Source organism: Homo sapiens, chromosome 11 (genome assembly GCF_000001405.40).
Source record: "Homo sapiens chromosome 11, GRCh38.p14 Primary Assembly".
Lineage (NCBI taxonomy): Eukaryota > Metazoa > Chordata > Mammalia > Primates > Hominidae > Homo > Homo sapiens.
The window spans coordinates 110323495-110342282 of NC_000011.10; the positions used below are offsets into that span (position 1 = coordinate 110323495).

Below are 18788 nucleotides of genomic sequence, written 5' to 3' on the forward strand. Positions count from 1 at the left end.
GAGGCTTTGAACTCTGGAAGACTAGACACATTAGGGGATAGCCATCACCACACTGAAAAGTGGGAGTGTCAAATTAAACTCTTTTTTTTTTTTTGAGATTGAGTTTCACTCTTGTTGCCCATGCTGGAGTGCAATGGCACGATCTCGGCTCACCACAACCTCTGCCTCCCAGGTTCAAGCGATTCTCCTGCCTCAGTCTCCTGAGTAGCTAGGATTATAGGCATGTGCCACCACACCTGGCTAATTTTTCATATTTTTAGTAGAGATGGGGTTTCTCCATGCTGGTCAGGCTAGTCTCGAACTCCCAACCTCAGGTGTTCCACCTGCCTCGGCCTCCCACAGTGCTGGGATTATAGGCATGAGACACTGTGCCCGGCCTTAAAGTCTTAATGATAAATAGTGGGATCTCCCAGAGGTCTTACAGGCAGGCTTATATTATAGACCTCCAAAGTTTGGAGGATTTCTTGCTTGTGAAACTGACCGGCCCAAAACAAAGGCCCTTTATATACTGATACATAGAGGAGGTTGCCCAAAGAAACAGCTGCATCTCTGCTCAAGTAATTTGTTGTGAGGCCCCTTCATTCAAAACCCCCTCAGCACATAGGACTTTCCATCAGATATTTCTTTCCTTTAGGAATTATTCTTCAGTAAGTCTTAACAATTTATTGCAAAATATTATTTATTTTAGTGATGACTTAAAGCCTGGGCTCTGGGGCATTGCTCAGCCTTTCTCATCCATTGAAAGGGTTAGTGAAGGAACATCATTTATTAAGACTGGATCTATGGTCAGCCCAATGTTGGCAGATCCACACATCCACATTTGCACAGGCTGATACAAATTTTGTTAACTGAAAAGAGCCAATGCTTCAGAAGAATCTAATAGCTAATCTGACTTTGCATTATAGATCATGCTCTTCTTATCAACTCCAAGGTGCCTCACTTGTAATCTAAGAATTTTCAGGATATAATTTAGTTTTTAAAATAAGTAATCCATTCCTCATGCAGAAATATAATCAACTGGTGCAAAAAAGTATCCTCAAACTTGAGCAGCCTCATCTTCTTCTTGGAAGAAAGAAACAAGTTATCCTGCACTTCTATTATTCAGGGAAAAAACAGACAATAGACAATGAAGGTTGCGGAGATGACAGTGGAGGATGATGGTGGGCCAGCACTGGTGGAGGCTGTGGCTGCTGCTAAGGAGACGGAAGTGGAGAAGATGGCACTCGAGACAATGACTAAGGAGATGACGGCAGATATGATCACAATAGACCCAATGGCTGCTGAGGCAGAGGTAGCAGAGACAACCTGTATGATAGGTGGTCTAACGTGGTGTCTCCTCTGTGGTGAATCTGAAACAGGAAAAGTTCCCTCATTTCCCTCGAAGAGCGAGCTATGGGGTGTGGCTCACTTCTTCCTTGCCCTGCTCCTCAAACTTCTAGGGGGAGCATGCAGACGGGCAGGTTGTGGGGACTGCATCCCACGGCAGCAGCGTCTAGGGTTGAGTATTTACAGCTCCTGAAGCCCCAGTGGGCGTGTGTTACAGTGCGTTCTTCCAGTTTAGCTATCCGCAGGCGGCTTGTGTTACTCAGCTCAATTAGACCCCTGCCTTACTGCAAGGACAGAGGGCTTTCTGTATCCCAGGATTCTTGCCTTAGTGTACCGGAAAAATCGGATGACACGTGGGCTTGGAGGATGGGTGCAAAGTTTTGTATTGAGTGGTGGTAGCTCTCAGTGAGGTGGTTGGGGAGGCCAGAAGGGGGATAGAGTGGGAAGGTACTTTTCCCCTGGAGTCGGCCACCCAGAGTCTGGGCTCTCCTCCCACCACCCTGGCCAAACTCCGCATCGTTCTGCCACTCAATGGCCTGCCGTCGTCTGCCAGTACTTGGTGTGCTCTTCCGCAGGTGTGTTCCTCTTGACGTCCAGCCGCTTGTGTCTCTGCCCACCAGGGTCTCGGGGTTTTTATAGGCATAGGATGGGGATGCGGCCCAAATCCAACATTTGGGCACTGAAAACAGAAATGCCTATCCTCACCTAGGTCCGTGAGCATAGGCCAGGGGGTGGAGCTCTAGCCGAGGACCTGCCCTTCTCCACCCAAAACTTCCCTGACCCCCCTCCCGTTTCAAATCCAATGGCCACAGCAGGTGAGGTGGCTGCAGCCCAAGGACAACAGGCCTTATTATTGTTGGGGAGGCAGCAGCTGCTGGTGCGGAGGAGATGATAAAGTTGATGTGGCCATAATAACTGGAGGGGGGAGGTAAATGAGTTTTCTGCAATAATCGGTGAGATCGTCCTTCATACCCCAAAGGGACCATAGTGGCAAGTAGAAAGAAAAACCACTGCAATCTATAGAATTAGCCATTCATCATGATTCTGAATTGTGGACTGAGCTCTACACACACTTCGAGAGAAAGAGGCTCGTTAATCCAAGGTGTTTATAGGTGAGCAGCCCCTTCCATGGCCCAGGGAAGCTAGAAAATAGAAAGAAACCAGTAACTGGCTGCTAGAAACAAGAACCACAGATCTATATGTCATTGCAACATCAGAGCTCCAGCCTTTGGGTTCCCTTTCTTGGTTATTCAAGAAGGCAGTTCCATCTTGGATTCCCATGGGTGTAACTAGGATTGCTGTCCACTTGGGGGTGGGCATATAGAGATAAGGAGAGAGACTGTTGATCAGGAGTGAGGACTCTGTGACAGCTGATCAGCTCAGCTCATGGAGGCTGGTAACCTCCATGTTCTCTGATGCTTTGATACTGCTTTCTCTGTGTCACTGACCAGCTCCTCATTGAGAACAATAGCAAATAGAAAATGAAATCTCGTATTTGAGAACAATCACACATAATAAATGAAGATAGATACGAAATAAAAGTGTCTATTCAATCACACACAAACAAAGGTATTTTGCCTGGATATTCATGAAACTGAAAAGTAGGTTCTTTTATTTAGAATTTAGAACAGAATGACTTTGCTCTTACTACATAAATAAATGTTTAAACTACACCTAACTGGCCGGGTGCAGTGGCTCACGCCTGTAATCCCAGCACTTTGGGAGGTCAAGGCAGGTGAATCACTTGAGGTCAGGAGTTCGAGACCAGCCTGGCCAACATGGTGAAAACGCATCTCTACTAAAAATACATATAAAAATTAGCTGGGCTTGGTGGCGGGTGCCTGTAATCCCAGTTACTTGTGAGGCTGAGGCAGGAGAATCGCTTGAACCCAGGAGGCAGATGTTGCAGTGAGCTGAGATCATGCCACTGCACTCCAGCCTGAGTGACAGAGTGAGACTTTGTCTCAAAAAAGTACTAATAATAAAAGAAAATAAAAATAATAAAATAAAGTACACGTTAACAGAATCCAAAAAAATGATACTTTACCACACACCCAATAGGATGACTACTATAAAAAAAAAAGTGTTGACAAAGATGTGGAGGAATTGGAACTCTTTTTTTTTGTTTTTTTTTTCCGAGACGGAGTCTCACACTGTCACCCAGGTTAGAGTGCAATGGCGCGATCTCAGCTCACTGCAACCTCCACCTCCTGGGTTCAAGAGATTCTCCTGCCTCAGCCTCCCAAGTAGCTGAAATTACAGGCACACAACATCCAGCTAATTTTTTGTATTTTCAGTAGAGACGAGGTTTCATTATGTTTGCCAGGCTGGTCTCAAACTCCTGACCTTGTGATCCGCTCGCCTCGGCCTCCCAAAGTGAGCCACCACACCCAGCCCACGAATTAGAACTCTTGTGCACTGTTGGTGGGAATGTAAAGTAACAGCTGGTATGAGAAATAGTATGGTGATTTTTCAAAATTAAAAGTAGAATTACTACATAATCCAGCAATTTCATTCCTAGATAAATACTCAAAAGAATTGAAAACAGAGTTTTGAAGAGGTATTTGTACACCAAAATTCATAGCAGCATTATTCATACTAGCCCAAAAGTGGAAGAAACCCATGTCCACCAGTGAATGAATGGATAAACGAAATGTGATATATACATACAATGGAATATTATTCACCTTTAGAAAAGAAAATCCCATTATATGCTACAATATAGATGAAACTTGAGGGCATTATGATAAGTGAAATAAGCCAGAAACAAAATGACCAATATTGTATGATTCCACTTATATGAGATATTCAGAGTAGTCAAATTCATGGAGACAGAAAGGAGAGTGCTGGTTGCCAGGGGCTGGGGAGAGGGGAAATGAGAAGTTATCGTTTAATAGGCATACAGTTTCAGTTTGGCAAGATGAAAAAGTTCTGCAAATTGGTTTCACAGCAATGCGAATATACTTAACACTACGGGATGGTACACTTAAAATGGTTAAGATGAAAATATTTGTATTTTAAATATCTATATATATTTACCATGATTAAAAATAAAAATAAAAATAAAAATAAATGACTCTGGCAGGGCGCGGTGGCTCGCGCCTGTAATCCCAGCACTTCGGGAGGCAAAGGCGGGCGGATCGCGAGGTCAGGAGATAGAGACCATCCTGGCTAACAGGGTGAAACCCCGTCTCTACTAAAAATACAAAAAATTAGCCAGGCGTGGTGGCAGGCGCCTGTACTCCCAGCTACTCAGGAGGCTGAGGCAGGAGAATGGTGTGAACCTGGGAGGCGGAGCTTGCAGTGAGCTGAGATTGCACCACTGCACTCCAGCCTGGGCGACAGAGCGAGACTCCGCCTCAAAAAAAAAAAAAAAAAAAAAAAAGACCCGCATGAACAATTTATCAAACATGAGATAGCGTGTGTGTTTATGAGTGTATTTGTGGTCACACTGATGTTTCATACTGTGGCTATCAAGTTGATTATGTGAGTAATTTCTCACACCTGCACAGGAAGTTGACCCCTCTCCTCACTTCCCCTCCCCTCCCCTTCCCTTCCCTTCCTTGTGTTACAGTCGGGTCTTTGTTCTTAGAGCTCCCGAGATGGTGGCGGCCGGCTCCCAAGGTGGCAGCAAGACTTTTGTTCTCTGACCTGGGGTTCTTGGCCTCCTGGATTCCAAAGAATGGAACCTTGGGGCCATGCGGTGAGTGTTGTGGTTCTATTGGAAACCGTGGGTCACGGAAGAGAACTGTGGAACCCAGTGACTAGTGTTCAGCTGGATTAGGATGAACCTGGGCACTTAGCAGTGCAGGAGCAATAGTGAGCCTCTAGCCCGATCCAGCAATGGGTGCCTCGCTGGATCAGAAGTGCAGTGGACACCCTGCCTGATCCAGAGTGGTGGAAGTCAGTGGCAGGTCTGTGACAGCGGCATTCAGCAGTGGTGGACAGCTCGAGCCAGAACAAACACATACCAGAAGAGTGAGCAGTTGCAAGATTTAATAGAGTGAAAACAGAGCTCCCATACAATGGAAAGGGACCCAAAGGGGGTTGCCACTCCCTGCTCAAATGCCTGGGTTTAAATCCCGATCATTGTCCCTCCCTTTGTGCTCTCAGGCGATAATATGATTTGACTATTTCTTTACCTCCTGCTTTTAGCCTAATTTGTATTTTAGTGAGCCCTCTTTACTACCTGATTGGTTGGGTGTGAGCTGAGTTACAAGCCCTGTGTTTAAAGGTGGGTGCAGTCACCTTCCCCAGCTAGGCTTAGGAATCCTTAGCCTAGGAAATACAGCTAGTCTATTCTCTTTCTTCCTTCCTTCCTTCCTTCCTTCCCTTTCTTTCTTTTTTTTTTTGAGACAACGTCTTGCTCTGTCATACGGGCTGGAGTGCAGTGCTCTGATTGTGGCTAACTGCAGCCTCAATCTCCCAGGCTCAAGCGATCCTCCCACCTAAGCCTCCCTAGTAGCTGGGAAAACAGGCAAATACCACCATTCCCAGCTAATTTTTTTTGTAGAGACAAGGTTTTACCATGTGCCCAGGCTCAGGTCTTGAACTCTTGAGCTCAAGTGATCCACTTGCTTCTGCCTTCCAAAGTGCTGGGATTACAAGTGTGAGCCACAACACCCAGCCCAGGCTTTTCTATACATCCTCTGAAATCTAGGTGAAGGCTGCCAAGTGTTCTTCATTCGCATTCTGTGCATCTATAGGCTTGACATCACCTGGAAGCCACCAAGGCTTACAGCTTACATTCTCTAAAGTAGCAGCCTGAGCTGTACCTGGGCCCCTTTGAGCCAAGGCTGTAATTAGAGTGACTGGGTTGTGGGAAGGAGTGTCCTGAGGCTGCACAAGGCAGTGGGGCCCTGAGCCTGACCCACAAAATCATTCAGTCCTCCTAGGCCTCAGAGCTTATGATGGGAGGGGCTGCTGCAGAGATCTGTGAAATGCCTTTGAGGCATTTTCTCAATTGTCTTAGATATTAGCACCTGGCTCTCTTTTAATTATGCAAACATGTCTAGCAAGTGGTCACTCCACAGCCTGCTTAAATTTCTCTCCTGAAAAAGCTTTTTCTTTCTCTGCCACATGGCCAGGCTGCAAATTTTCTAAACTTTTATGCTCTGATCCCTGTTTAAATATAATTTCCAGCTTTAAGTCATTTATTTGTTCCCACATCTGAATATAGACTGTTAGAAGCAGCCATAACACCTCTTGAACACTTTGCTGCTTAGAAATTTCTTCTGTCGGTTGGAAGTGGTAGTTCATGCCTGTAATCCCAGCACTTTGGAAGGCCAAGGTGGGAGGGTCACCCGAGGTCAGGGGTTCAAGACCAGCCTGACCAACATGAAGAAACCTCATCTCTATTAAAAATACAAAAATTAGCCAAGTGTGATGGCACATGCCCTTAATGCCAGCTACTCAGGAGGCTGAGGCAGGAGAATCACTTGAACCCAGGAGGCAGATGTTGCAGTGAGCCGAGATCACGCCACTGCACTCCAGCCTGGGCAACAAGAGCGAGACTCTGTCTCAAAAAAAAAAAAATGAAATTTCTTGCCAGATACCCTAAATCATCACTATGAAGTTCAGACTTCCACAGATTCCCAGGGCATGAAAAGAGTACAGCCAAGCTCTTTGCTAAGGCATAATATGCCTGATCTTTGCTCTAGTTTCCAGTAAGTTCTTCGTTCGCTCTGAGACCTCCTCAGCCTGGACTTTATTGTCCATGTCACTATCAGCATTTTGGTCACAACCATTTAACCAGTCTCAAAGTTCTAAACTTTCCCTCATCTTCCTGTCTTCTTCTGAGCCCTCTGAACTCTCCTAATCTCTGCTTGTTACGCAGCTCCGAAGTTTCTTCCACATTTTTGGGTATCTTTATAGCAATACTCCACTCCTGGTACCAATTTTCTGTGTTAGGCCATCCTTGTACTCCTATAAAGAAATAACTGAGACTGAGTAATTTATAAGCAAAGAGATTTATTTGGCTCATGGTTCTGCAGGCTTTACCAGAAATAGAGCAGCATCTGCTTCTGGGGAGGCCTCAGGAAGCTTATAATCATGGCAGAAGGCAAAGGGGGAGCAGGAACATCACATGTTGAAAGCAGGAGCAAGACAGAGAGAGAGTTGTGGGGGAGGTGCAGAGGTGCCACACATTTCTAAATGACCAGATCTCATGAAAACGCATTATCACAAAGATAGGACTAAACCATGAGGAACCCACCCCTATGATCCAAATACCTTCCACGAGGCCTCACCTCCAGCTTTTTCATTACAATTCAAAATGAGATTTGGGCAGAGACAAATATCCAAACGATATCACCCTCTTAGTAGTTAAATACCTTATATTAACAATTTATTCTTTTAAATTTCCCTCGTTCAGATTACTGGTGTGATTACTGTCTCCTGACTGGACCCTGACTGCTATAGAATTGGTACCTGAAAGTGTCACAGAAGACGGATTCTAAAAGATGGGTTTTGGGATTGGGTGAAATGTTGAGGTTTTTGCTGATGGGAATTAGATGCTAGTAACCCATGCATGCAGCAACATTACAATTAAGCTATCACCTCTGATTAATTGCAATTAAATGCTAATTAGGTAACTGTTGTGGGAGCTTATACAGCTGCTGCACTTGACCATTATAGATTCTTCCAAGTGTGTTGGAGTGCTTAGAGAAAGAAAAAATGACAAGCTCAAGTCCTTTAACTCTTAGATAAAATGATGGTCTTAGAATCATACAACTAATATGGCAGCAGTAAAGTATCTCATTTCTTGTAGTGATAGGGCTAATGCTGAAAATCAAACATAAAACTTTTTTGCAGAATTACAGCATTAGTTGAATTCACAGCTCTACCAAGTATCTCATGTGAGAGTTAGGGCATTCATTGGGAAATAATGGCTCCTTGAAACTTGAGATGAGAACATCTGATTGGATTCAGATTAGCCTGAGAATCTCTGACTCCTGAGACACTCTAAGCCTCCCTTACCAGTAGAAGTACGTTTCCTTCTTGTGTTGAGATGTCTAGCTTTCCTGTGATAATCTCAGGGGAGCATGCATTGAAAAAGGATGTCCTTTGTTCCCAAGCACAAGGACCCTCTGTTTCCATCAGTCCCATAACTACAGCTGTGTGTCAATATGCTTATAGTGCCAGAAAAACTGGATGGTAGTAGGTTATACACCTAAAGAAATTACAAGGTTTTGTGAATATGTGTCAGCAGAAACTGAAGAATATGTATGAAAATAGATTCTAAAGGTATTAGATCAGCAGTCCCCAACCTTTATGGTACCAGGGACTGGTTTCGTGGAAGATAATTTTTCCATGGACAAATGGAGGGGTGGGGATGGTGGTTGGTTTTGGGATGAAACTATTCCACCTCAGATCATCAGGCATTAGATTCTCATAAGGATCATGCAACCTAGATCGCTTGCATGTATAGTTCACAATAGGGTTCACACTTCTGTAAAAATCTAATGCTGCTGCTGATCTGACAGGAGGTGGAGCTCAGGCAGTAATGCTTTCCTGCCTGTTGCTCACCTCCTGCTGTGCTGCCCAGTTCCCAACAGGCCACAGACCAGTACCAGTCCATGGCCTGGGGGGTTGGGAACCCTTGGATTAGACCAAAGAGGACAGAATATCAAAATGGGTTAAATGATATGATATGGTTGCACTTACTAGAGATTTCAGATTTAATGTATTAGCTCATGCAGCTGTAGGTGTCTCTAATAGCATGCTTGATGGATTTACTAAAACGTGGACTGACTGGACTGACTGGTGGTCTGTGTCAATGAGGTTGATGTCAGAGCTTCCTTAGCATGATGTAGAAAAGGGAACCCAGAGGCTTAGGAAGATAGGAAGTTTGGAAATGGGTTTATTTATTTATTTAATTTTTAAAAATTAAAAAAAAATTTTTTTTGAGACAGAGTTTTGCTCTTGTCGCCCAGGCAAGAGTGCAATGGTGTGATCTCGGCTCACTGCAACCTCTATCTCCAGTGTTCAAGTGATTCTCCTGCCTCAGCCTCCCAAGTAGCTGGGATTACAGGCACACACCACCATGCCTGGCTAATTTTTTTTGTATTTTAAGTAGAAATGGGGTTTTGCCACGTTGGCCAGGCTGGTCTTGAACTCTTGACCTCAGGTGATCTGCCCACTTCAGCCTCCCAAGTTGCTGGGATTACAGGTGTGAACCACCGTGTCCTGCAGAAATGGGTTTATTATATGCAACTGCATGCCTACCCTTCAATCACAGCCCTTTTAAGTCTTGACACACTTCCAGGGTTACCTGTACCCTAGTTTGAAGGCCACTGCTTGAGTTTGACAGCAACTCAAGAGGGATGATACAAGATCAAGAGGGATGATGCAAGATCTAGAGAGGTTTTCTTGTTTTTGCTTTAAACCAATAGACTTAAATATGTTAAAGATCTGGGTAGAAGAAGTCAATAGACAGGGAAAATGAAAATCTAGTCATGAGAATACACACACACACACACACATACACACACACACACACCCCACAGCAACTATCTAAAAATATGGTCCTGAGGATCCTGTGTGAATGTGGCAGGGTTATATCTCCAGGAATTCACTTGTTGGTTTATTTTCTTACCCCCTTCCCTTCCATTCTCTCACTAGGGAGGACACTTTATTTCTCCTCCCCAGAGCACTATGATGGCCATGAGTTACTTTGTGAGCAGAAACAAAAGCTCAAAGAAGAAAACTGCGGAAGCTTTAACTTCCAGGACCTATATAAGACTCTGGCTGGGCAAGAGTGGAGGAAGATATGTAGAAAATTAGGTTTGAAAAGATGAAGAAAGAAGGATGTTTTCAGTCCACGAAAGCAGACTAAAAACAGCTTCTTGCCCCTAACCACCCAGTGCTCCAATATCCCACCCAGTTCTCACCTCTGCCTGCTCTCTGTCTATGATTAACCTACCTTGTAGCATTCTCATGCTCTAGTAAGTCTCCTCCTTTAGACACCCTGTGGTAGGGGTGATGTATCCCCCTCCAAGTTGGGATGGAAAGACCCAGCTGGAAATTTCCCTATGTACTGGGCCAAAGTGGACATAGAACCTTGATGCTTGTGTAGGCCATACCATTTTTTTTCGATAATTGACACTGCTAGTCTTCTTTTTTTTTTTTTTTTTTTTTTGGGAGACAGTCTCACTATGTTGCCCAGGGTGGAGTGCAGTGGTGCCGTCTTGGCTCACTGCAACCTCTGCCTCCTGGGTTCAAGCGATTCTCCTGCCTCAGCCTTCTGAGTAGCTGGGATTACAGGCATGTACCACCATACCCAGCTAATTTCTGTATTTTTAGTAGAGGCAGGGTTTCACCATGTTGGTCAGGCTGGTCTCGAACTCCTGACCTTGTGATCCACCCACCTTGGCCTCCCAAAGTGCTGGGATTACAGGCGTGAGCCATCGCGCCCGGCTGACACTGCTAGTCTTTATGCACAGCAACAAATTATTTACCTCTTGAGTGCCTATCTATAGGGTTTTTTTTTTTTAATTATACTTTTAAGTTCTGGGGTACATGTGCATAACTTGAAGATTTGTTACATAGGTATACACATGCCATGGTGGTTTGCTGCACCCATCAACCCGTCATCTACATTAGGTATTTCTCCTAATGCTACCCCTCCCCTAACCCTCGACCCCCAACAGGCCATGGTGTGTGATGTTTCTCTCCCTGTGTCCATGTGTTCTCACTGTTCAACTCCCACTTATGAGTGAGAATATGCGGTGTTTTTGGTTTTCTGTTCTTGTGTTAGTTTGCTGAGCAGTGACTATCTATAGGTTTTGAGTTGTTTTTAGAAATAGTAATTGGGTAGACTGATGATTGGACTCAGGAGGTAAAATTTAAAACATGGACCTTATGAGAATTATATGTATGACTTTGGCCTCATTTATACACACACCCCACAAAATGGAAACAACACAAATCAAGAAACCCACTTACTTCTGGGCAGCTTATAGGGGCATTGATTTAGGACATGAGTTTTAAATATATTTTATATAAATACCTTTTTTGATACATATTACCTTTATAGTAAGACTGATGGGTTATAGAGAGACCTGCAAAAGCAACAGGGAAACAAACAAATGTATAAATGTAAAAGAATATGAGTTACATATTTTCAAACACTGTGCCATTACAAATAAGGTCTGTAAGGAGCTGTATACTTGCTACCTCAAATATATTCCAAAGAAATGATCCTGCCTTTGAGGAACACAGAGGCTGATCATGAGAGACCATTGGCGCTCCCTTCGAGGCATCATTGCCTTTTTGTCATATTGTGCTTCTTGGTGGCGGTTCGAAGAATAAATGCTGGCCAGGCATGGTGGCTCACACCTGTGATCCTAGCACTTTGGGCAGCCGAGGCGGGAGGATCACTTGAGCCTGAGAGTTCAAGACCAGTCTAAGCAAAACAGTGAAACTCTATCTCTACAAAAAATATTAAAAAAAAAAAATCAGCTGGGTGTGGTGCCATGCACCTGTAGTCAGCTACTTGGGAGGCTGAAATGGTAGGATTGCTTGAGCCCCAGGAGGTTAAGACTGCAGTGAGCCAAGGTAGGTCACACCATTGCACTCTAGCCTGGGCAACAAAGCAGACGCTGTCTCTAAAAAGAAAAAAGGGCTTGGCGTGGTGGCTCATGTCTATGATCTCAGCACTTTGAGAAGCCAAGGTGGGAGGATTCCTTGAGCCCAGAAGTTTGAGGTCAGCCTGGGCAACAGAGTGACACCCTGTCTCTACAAAAAATTAAAAATTAGCCATGCATGGTGGCGCATTCCTGGAGTCCCAGCTGCTTGGGAGGCTGAAGTAGGAAGATACTTGAGCCCAGGAGGTTGACACTGCATGATCACCCTACTGCACTCCGGCTGAGCAGCAGAGTAAGATCCTGTCTCAAAGGAAGCAAAATTAATAAAAAGAAAAAAGAAAATAAAAACAAATGCCATAAATTTGGAAAGAGTGTTGAAATATCTAAGTTGCTAAAGGTCTAAAAGTAGATTCTCAGACTTTCAGGACTCTTAAAATGCTCCTGATCTGTTTAACTAAATTTTAGTTAGTTTAATACTTAGGCCCTTTCTAAGGAATTTGGTACCAACATATAACTAGGCTATATGAAGGTCTAATTGAAGGTCTATGTGAAGATTGAAGGTCTAATCAATACAGACCACCAAATCCATGTTTTGAATCATTTTTATAGTTAGTGGCAGTACAAAAGGGTTGTAAAATTTGAACTTTATATAAATACTTGAATATAAATATTGTGAACATATATACAGGTGTAAAAATATAAAAACATTTTCCTAAAGAGGAAAAATGGTCAACTGTGCATTAAGCCATTTTAATATGTGTTTACATTGAAAAAGAGACATTTTGATATCAGTTTGTATCTTCTATGAAGCCTGTTCTAGAGTCTTTTGGATGATGTACTGGTTTTTGGATGATGTAATCGTTTTTCTTGTATAGCCTTAGGAAAATTTTTCATTAACTCTAGAAAGAAACAGACTGTTCCATACTTGGATCTATGTTAAAAAAATGAAGAGCTGTGGCATAAATGAAGGTAAATATAATTTCCTCATTTTTAACCGCCCTGAAAGATAACTGATTTCCTTTTTTTTATTTTTCAGACGGAGTCTCACTCAGTCATCCAGGCTGGAGTGCAGTGGCACAATCTCAGCTCGCTACAACCTCTGCCTCCCGGGTTCGAAGTGATTCTCCTGCCTCAGCCTCCTGAGTGGTTGGGATTACAGGCATGGCCTACCATGCTCTGCTTTTTTTTTGAGACAGAGTTTTGCTCTTGTTGCCCAAGGAGTGCAATGGCATGATCTCGGCTCACTGCAACCTCCGCCTCTCAGGTTCAAGCAATTCTCCTGCCTCAGGCTCCCGAGTAGCTGGAATTACAGGCACGTACCACCACGCCCGGCTAATTTTGTATTTTTAGTAGAGATGGGGTTTCTCCATGTTGGTCAGGCTGTTCTTGAACTCCTGAACTCAGGGGATTGGCCTGCCTCAGCCTCCCAACATGCTGGGATTACAGGTGTGAGCTACTGCGCCTGGCCTATTTTTTTTTTTTTTTGTCTTTAGTAGAGACGGGGTTTCACCATGTTGGCCAGGCTGGTCTCGAACTCCTGACCTCGTGATCCTCCCGCCTTGGCCTCCCAAAGTGCTGGGATCACAGGCATGAGCCACGGTGCCCGGCCTAAAGATAACTGATTTTCTTAAACAAAGTCAATCGTATAAATGCATTTGTTTTTATAGCATATATGAAAGTGTTCATGGAAAGGGATACCGATCCAGACCCCATTCTTTCTTGCATGGACCTCATGCAAGAAAGAATTCAGGGCCAGGCGCGGTGGCTCATGCCTGTAATCCCAGCACTTTGGGAGGCCGAAGCGGGCGGATCACAAGGTCAGGAGATGGAGACCATCCTGGCTAACAGGGTGAAACCCCGTCTCTACTGAAAATACAGAAAATTAGCCGGGCGTGGTGGCACGAGCCTGTAGTCCCAGCTACCTGGGGGGGCTGAGGCAGGAGAATGGCGTGAACCTGGCAGGCGGAGCTTTCAGTGAGCCGAGATCCCGCCACTGCACTCCAGCCTGGGCGACAGAGCCAGACTCCGTCTCAAAAAAAAAAAAAAAAAAAAAAAAAGAAAAAAGAAAAGAGAAAGAATTCAAGGTGACCCCATAGAGTAAAGTGAAAGCAAGTTTATTAAGAAAGTAAAGAAACAAAAGAATGGCTCTTCCATAGGCAGAGCAGCAGCATAGGCTGCTCAACTAATTACACTTAACAGTTGTTTCTTTATTATATGCTAAACAAGGAGTGAGTTATTCATGAGTTTTCCAGGAAAGAGGTGGGCAATCCCCGGAGCTGAGGGTTTCTCCCCTTTTTACACCACACAGGGTAACTTCCTGACGTTGCCATGGCATTTGTAAACTGTCATGGTGCTGCTGGGAGTGTCTCTTAGCATGCTAATGCCTTATAATTAGAGTATAATGAACAGTCAGAATGACCAGAGGTCACTTTCGGCACCATCTTGGTTTTAGTGGGATTTGGCCAGCTTCTTTATCACATGCTGTTTTATCAGCAAGGTCTTTGTGACCTATATCTTGTGCTGACCTCCTGTCTTATCCTGTGACGAAGAATGACTAACCTCTTGGGAATGCAGCCTAGTAGGTTTCAGCCTTATTTTACCCAGCCCCTGTTCACTATGGAGTCACTGTGATTCCAATGCCTCTGACAGAAGTAAAATATATGATAACATAACACAGAGGCTGAAAGGCCTATACTGTTACAAGGTTCTCATGCAACACATGAAGTGGTATAATATTATTTGAAGATAGACTGTGATGGATTAAAGATGTATATTTTAAACCCTAGGTTAAGCACTAAAAATGTATGTGAATGAAGTACAAATAGTGAGCCAATAATAAAGATGAAATGGACTCATTAAAAATACCCAAATAATCCAAAACAATATAGAAATAGAGGAAAGAGGAATCACAGAACCAAAAAGAAAAAAAAAACTACAAAAAATTAAGGCTGAGCACAGTGGCTCATGCCTGTAATCCCAACAATTTGGGAGGCTGAGGTGGGAGGATCACTGATGCCAGGGTTTGAGACCAACTTCAGCAACATAGGAAAATCCCATCTCTACCAAAAACAAAAACAAGTAAAAGAATCAAAGAACAGATGGAATAAATGGAAAATGACTACGAGATGGAAGATTTTAATTCAACCATATCAATAATTACAAAATAGTCTAAATGTACCAATTAAAAGACAGAAATTATCATTTGGGTAAAACTCAAGATTGAATTTTTTAAAAAAGCTCAAGAATATACTGTCTACAAGAAACCCATTTCAAATGTCAAGATATAACTAGGTTAAAAAAAACTAGCCTAATCCCCTGTTTATTAGCATCAACAAAACGTCTAATATTAGGCATTGCTGCCATCTCTTCTCCACCCACAATTAGACTGCACAAAAATATAAGAGCCTCCAAAGTAAACAGGAGACCTAGTCCTTGATCTCCATAGTAGCCAGAGTTTCACTTGCTCCTTCCATTACTATACGATGCCATTTTCACTTCCTCCTCATTTGTCTTTGAGCTTTGTTGCATTGGGTAGGAAGAGAAACGTTCTTTTTTTTTTTTTTTTGAGATGGAGTTTCCCTCTTGTTGCCCAGGCTGGAGTGCAATGGCACAATCTCGGCTCACTGCAGCCTCCACCTCCAGGGGTTCAAAGCAATTCTCCTGCCTCAGCCTCCCGAGTAGCTGGGATTACAGTCGCCCGCCACCATGCCCGGCTAAGTTTGTATTTTTAGTAGAGACGGGGTTTCTACATGTTGGTCAGGCTGGTCTTGAACTCCCAACCTCAGGTGATCCACCCACCTCGGCCTCCCAAAATGTTGGGATTACAGGCGTGAGCCACTGTGCCTGGCCTGAGAAACGTTCTTTACAATGGTCTCTTCTACTGACCACAGGCTCAGCTACAGGGAACCCTACCTTTATTACCAGGGCTACAGCGCTTGGTGACATAGATAACACCCATCTGAGGTCCTACCTTTTCACAGCTCCACTATTTGTAGAATATAATAGTTCTCCATCCTTCCCAGTCTCAAAACTCTTAGATAATTCAGCTCTATCCTGCTCTTAGCCTCAATGGAAAAACAAAAGTGTCTTAACTTTTCAGTGGTGATCAAGAAGCCCCAGCCTTCAGCTTAAAAAGCTCTGGCTTTTCCCTTTAAAGGGGACTGCTCTGTGGTGGTAAGGAAGTGCCTGTGCATCAGTTAGACTTGCATTCACAGGCAAATAACAGAAAAACCACCTGTAGTCCCTTGACCACATAGAGGTTTAATTTTCTTCACTGAAGTCTGTCTGTATCAGATAGCTGCTGACCTTGGTTCTACAATTTGGTGATGTCAGAGTCCATGTATCTGTGCTTGTCCTGACTTTTCTCTCATGGGTACAAGATGACACTGTAGATTCAGCCATCAATTCTGCATTCAAGAGAAAAGGAAGTGGGTGAAGGAGAACACAGACCTTATGTGTTCTTTCTTCAGCGAAGCAGAAGTTTTTCCGAACCTGATCTTCCTTGATCATGTTAAATGAAAAACCTCAGTTGCATTAAATTTAAAAGAGCTTAATTGGACAATGAACGATTTGCATATTGGGCAGCCTCCTGAGCCAGAGTAAGCTCAGATACTCCAGTGCAGCCATGTGGTGGAAGAAGATTTTTGGATAGAAAAAGGCAAGTGATATACAAAAAATGGAAGTGAGGTATAAAAATAGCTGGATTGGTTACAGTTTGGCATTTGCCTTATTAGAACACAGTTTGAATGCTCAGCAGTGTATGAGTGGTTGAAGAATGGCTGCTGGGATTGTCTGAGACTCAGCTCTTATTACAGACACATACTCCTAAATTAGGTTTTCAATCTTATCTACCTACTAAGTTAGGTTACTGTCCATTCACAAGGGCTCAAATATGGAAGCACAGAGTCATTCTCAGGCCATATTTAGTTTGCTTTAACAATCATCAGGCCTCATGATGTCCCATGGGCCAGAACTGGGTCCCAGGGCCATCTCTAGATGCAAGGAAAAACAGAAAAGCAAGTATTCTGCTTTTCAGGCTGTATAGTGGGAGGCATAAATGGATAAGAGGTTTGGGAATGGCTTTGAGTAGCTGTTCAACATTATGTTTCATAATCCCTTGTTCCTTCCTGATGAGTAGAAAACAAGGCAGAGTTAATTTCTCAAACACAATATGCTGGTACTTGGGTCAGAGCAGCGCATTACATACATATGACGTCCAGGCACTGCAAATAAGAACCACTGTACTCCAGCAGGTCACAAAAAAGAGAACAGAATGAGTTGTGCATCAGAAATGGGGAAAGTAGTCAGAGGACAAGAAGTATTAGAAGGAATGGGAGTGAAAAGGGGAAGAATCACAGAGACTTTGACCTAAAGAAGCATAAACAAAGTAACAGCCTGAGGGCTTGGGACCCCAAGGCCCAATTCAGGAGCACAAAGGGAAGAAACTTCAGAGGCTGTGCTGTAGCCCTGGGCACCATATTTGTCAGCACCACCAAGAGCATCCTCTGCAGGCTGCTCATACCTAGCTGGGCAGGATTTGAGGAATTATGAGGGCCAAGTTGGTGAATACTGCTTTCTGTGTTTTTGGTGTTACCTTATGCCTGGACTGGAGTGGAAACACACAAGTTACACAATTAAATCTGATATATCAATAAAGTTGCATTTGACATATATGTAGTTTCTTTATGATTTTGAAGAAAAACATACTTTACATAAATAAGAACTATCTAGTCATTGAAAGGTCACTGGAAATAAAAACACAGAGGACAGGGAAATTAAAATAAACTCTCCACTAAATCACTAAATTTCATATTACAATTCCATAAATTCCAATTCTTTTTTTTTTTTTTTTTTTTTTTTGGAGACAGAGTCTCCCTCTGTTGCCCAGACTGGAGTGCAGTGATACGATGATCTTGGCTCACTGCCACCTCCACCTCCTGAGTTCAAGTGATTCTCCTGCCTCAGCCTCCTGAGTAGTTGGGACTACAGGCGGTGCCACCACGCCTGGCTAATTTTTGTATTTTTAGTAGAGATGGGGTTTCACCATGTTGGCCGGGCTGATCTCGAACTCCTGACCTCAGGTGATCCACCCGCCTGGGCCTCCTGAAGTGCTGGGATTACAGGTGTGAGCCACTGTGCTTGGCCCAATTCTTTTTATGCTATCAATTAATTAAATGTGCTTCCATCACATAGGCTCAAATCATTAGGAATTATACTTGTGTGTGAGTACACAGGAATACATTCTCACATCCACACAACAAAATCTTTTTCTTTCCCCCTTTACTCTTACCAAATTATTTATGCATTCAATAAATGTTTATAGAGCACCTACCGTTTCCTCTTATACCTTTCCTACTTCCTATACTGTAGACCTTATGGGAGTCATGATCAGAATTATAGGTGTTGGTTAGGGTTGAGGAGGTATGAGAGAACACATATCCACTCTGGATAAATATGCAGACACTTCTCTGTCTCTCTTTTTTTTCCCTCCAATCTCAGCTCTTGGAAGCAGAGATCAGTAATAAATTAGGAAGATCAATTACATGTCTAGCTCTATCACTATCATGCTGGGTATATCACAAGACTTCTCTATCTCATTGCCTTTTAACTAAGACAAAACTGGTATTAGTCTTTTCTGTTTCCTTCTTTTTTCTTTTTCTTTTTTTTTTGAGATGGAGTCTTGCTCTGTTGCCCAGGCTGGAGTGCAGTGGTGCAATCTCGGCTCACTGCAAGCTCCGCTTCCTGGGTTCACACCATTCTTAGCCTCCCGAGTAGCTGGGACTACAGGTGCCCACCACCACGCCTGGCTAATTTTTTGTATTTTTAGTAGAGATGGGGTATCACTGTGTTAGCCAGGATGGTCTCGATCTCCTGACC

The 18788-nt window shown here is 43.5% G+C and overlaps 1 long non-coding RNA gene across 1 annotated transcript; it reads left to right on the forward strand.

Annotated features, from left to right (window-relative positions):
* The first annotated feature begins 4906 nt into the window (after window positions 1-4906).
* Window positions 4907-7919, forward strand: LOC124902752 (uncharacterized). Its single transcript, XR_007062884.1, has 2 exons — window positions 4907-5029; window positions 7700-7919. It is a non-coding gene; the product is annotated as an uncharacterized LOC124902752 (long non-coding RNA).
* Window positions 7920-18788: the final 10869 nt, after the last annotated feature.